The sequence below is a fragment of the Homo sapiens genome, chromosome 14, assembly GCF_000001405.40.
Source record: "Homo sapiens chromosome 14, GRCh38.p14 Primary Assembly".
NCBI classification, from domain to species: domain Eukaryota; kingdom Metazoa; phylum Chordata; class Mammalia; order Primates; family Hominidae; genus Homo; species Homo sapiens.
The window spans coordinates 66,410,716-66,411,587 of NC_000014.9; the positions used below are offsets into that span (position 1 = coordinate 66,410,716).

Genomic DNA, 872 nt, shown 5'->3' on the forward strand with positions numbered 1-872 from the left:
GATTGACCAAAGACTTTTCTTTTTCTGATTTTTTTGGGGAATAAGTCCATTTCAAAGGGTCATTTCCTCTGATTGCCCTGACTGGCCCCCTTTATTTCAATAATTTGAGTAATTATTTTAAAATTTCACAGGTCCAATGGTTTTTCCCTATTCATCCATTCCTGCAGCTCCTTGGTTGTATCATGTACTCTTTCTATCTTGCCTTCCGATATTTGCATATGATGTTACCTCTGAATAAAACACTCATCCTAGCATAACATTCAGTATAATACTACTAACAAATAGTAGTGCTCAATTAAAATTTCAGTTCAACGAGTGACTGTCTACATTTTTCCTGTTTTGGAATTTAAAAGGTGGCTTCTCTGAAACTATAAGGATCTCTATTCAAGCTGTTTAGTTTTAGACAAAGAAGAATGAAAATTTTCAAATTTTTGTAGTTTTAGTTTTTCAAGATTGGCAATTGAATTTGTACCCTGAAGTTAGGAGCAAGCATATGTGAGAAAGTTTACTCCTGTGCTTAGTGGATGTTTTTGTGTGTCTGTTGTAGTCCTTTGTGCCAGCCCCTTCTCTGACTGGCAGAGCTTTCCTCAACAGGATCCTGTGGAAATGATGCCACTGTTTTACCTGACATAGTAGATCATAGCAAGGGTGAAATGCCTGGCCAGTTGTTCTGTGTGTAGTCAAGATCCAACTTCCCAAGGTCATTTGTAGGGTTCAGATTTGTTTCACACTGGCTTGAGCCCCAGTTACTCTGAGCTGGAAGATTATCTGGGTCCCTACTAAGGACATCCATCCACTGTTGCCAGATGAATCTTTCCTTCACATGTGTTGAATTGCAGCTAGGTCAGTACTTCTTTGAATCCATATTTTAA

At 38.2% G+C, this 872-nt stretch overlaps 1 annotated feature.

The window, feature by feature from the left end:
• Positions 452-621: an enhancer, noted in NCBI's record as "experimental_35483 CRE fragment used in MPRA reporter constructs". NCBI's record gives its function as "activates a minimal promoter by MPRAs in K562 erythroleukemia cells, with activity observed for the introgressed 14:66877970 variant allele {active_cell/tissue: K562}" and the evidence as "EXISTENCE:reporter gene assay evidence [ECO:0000049][PMID:34662402]".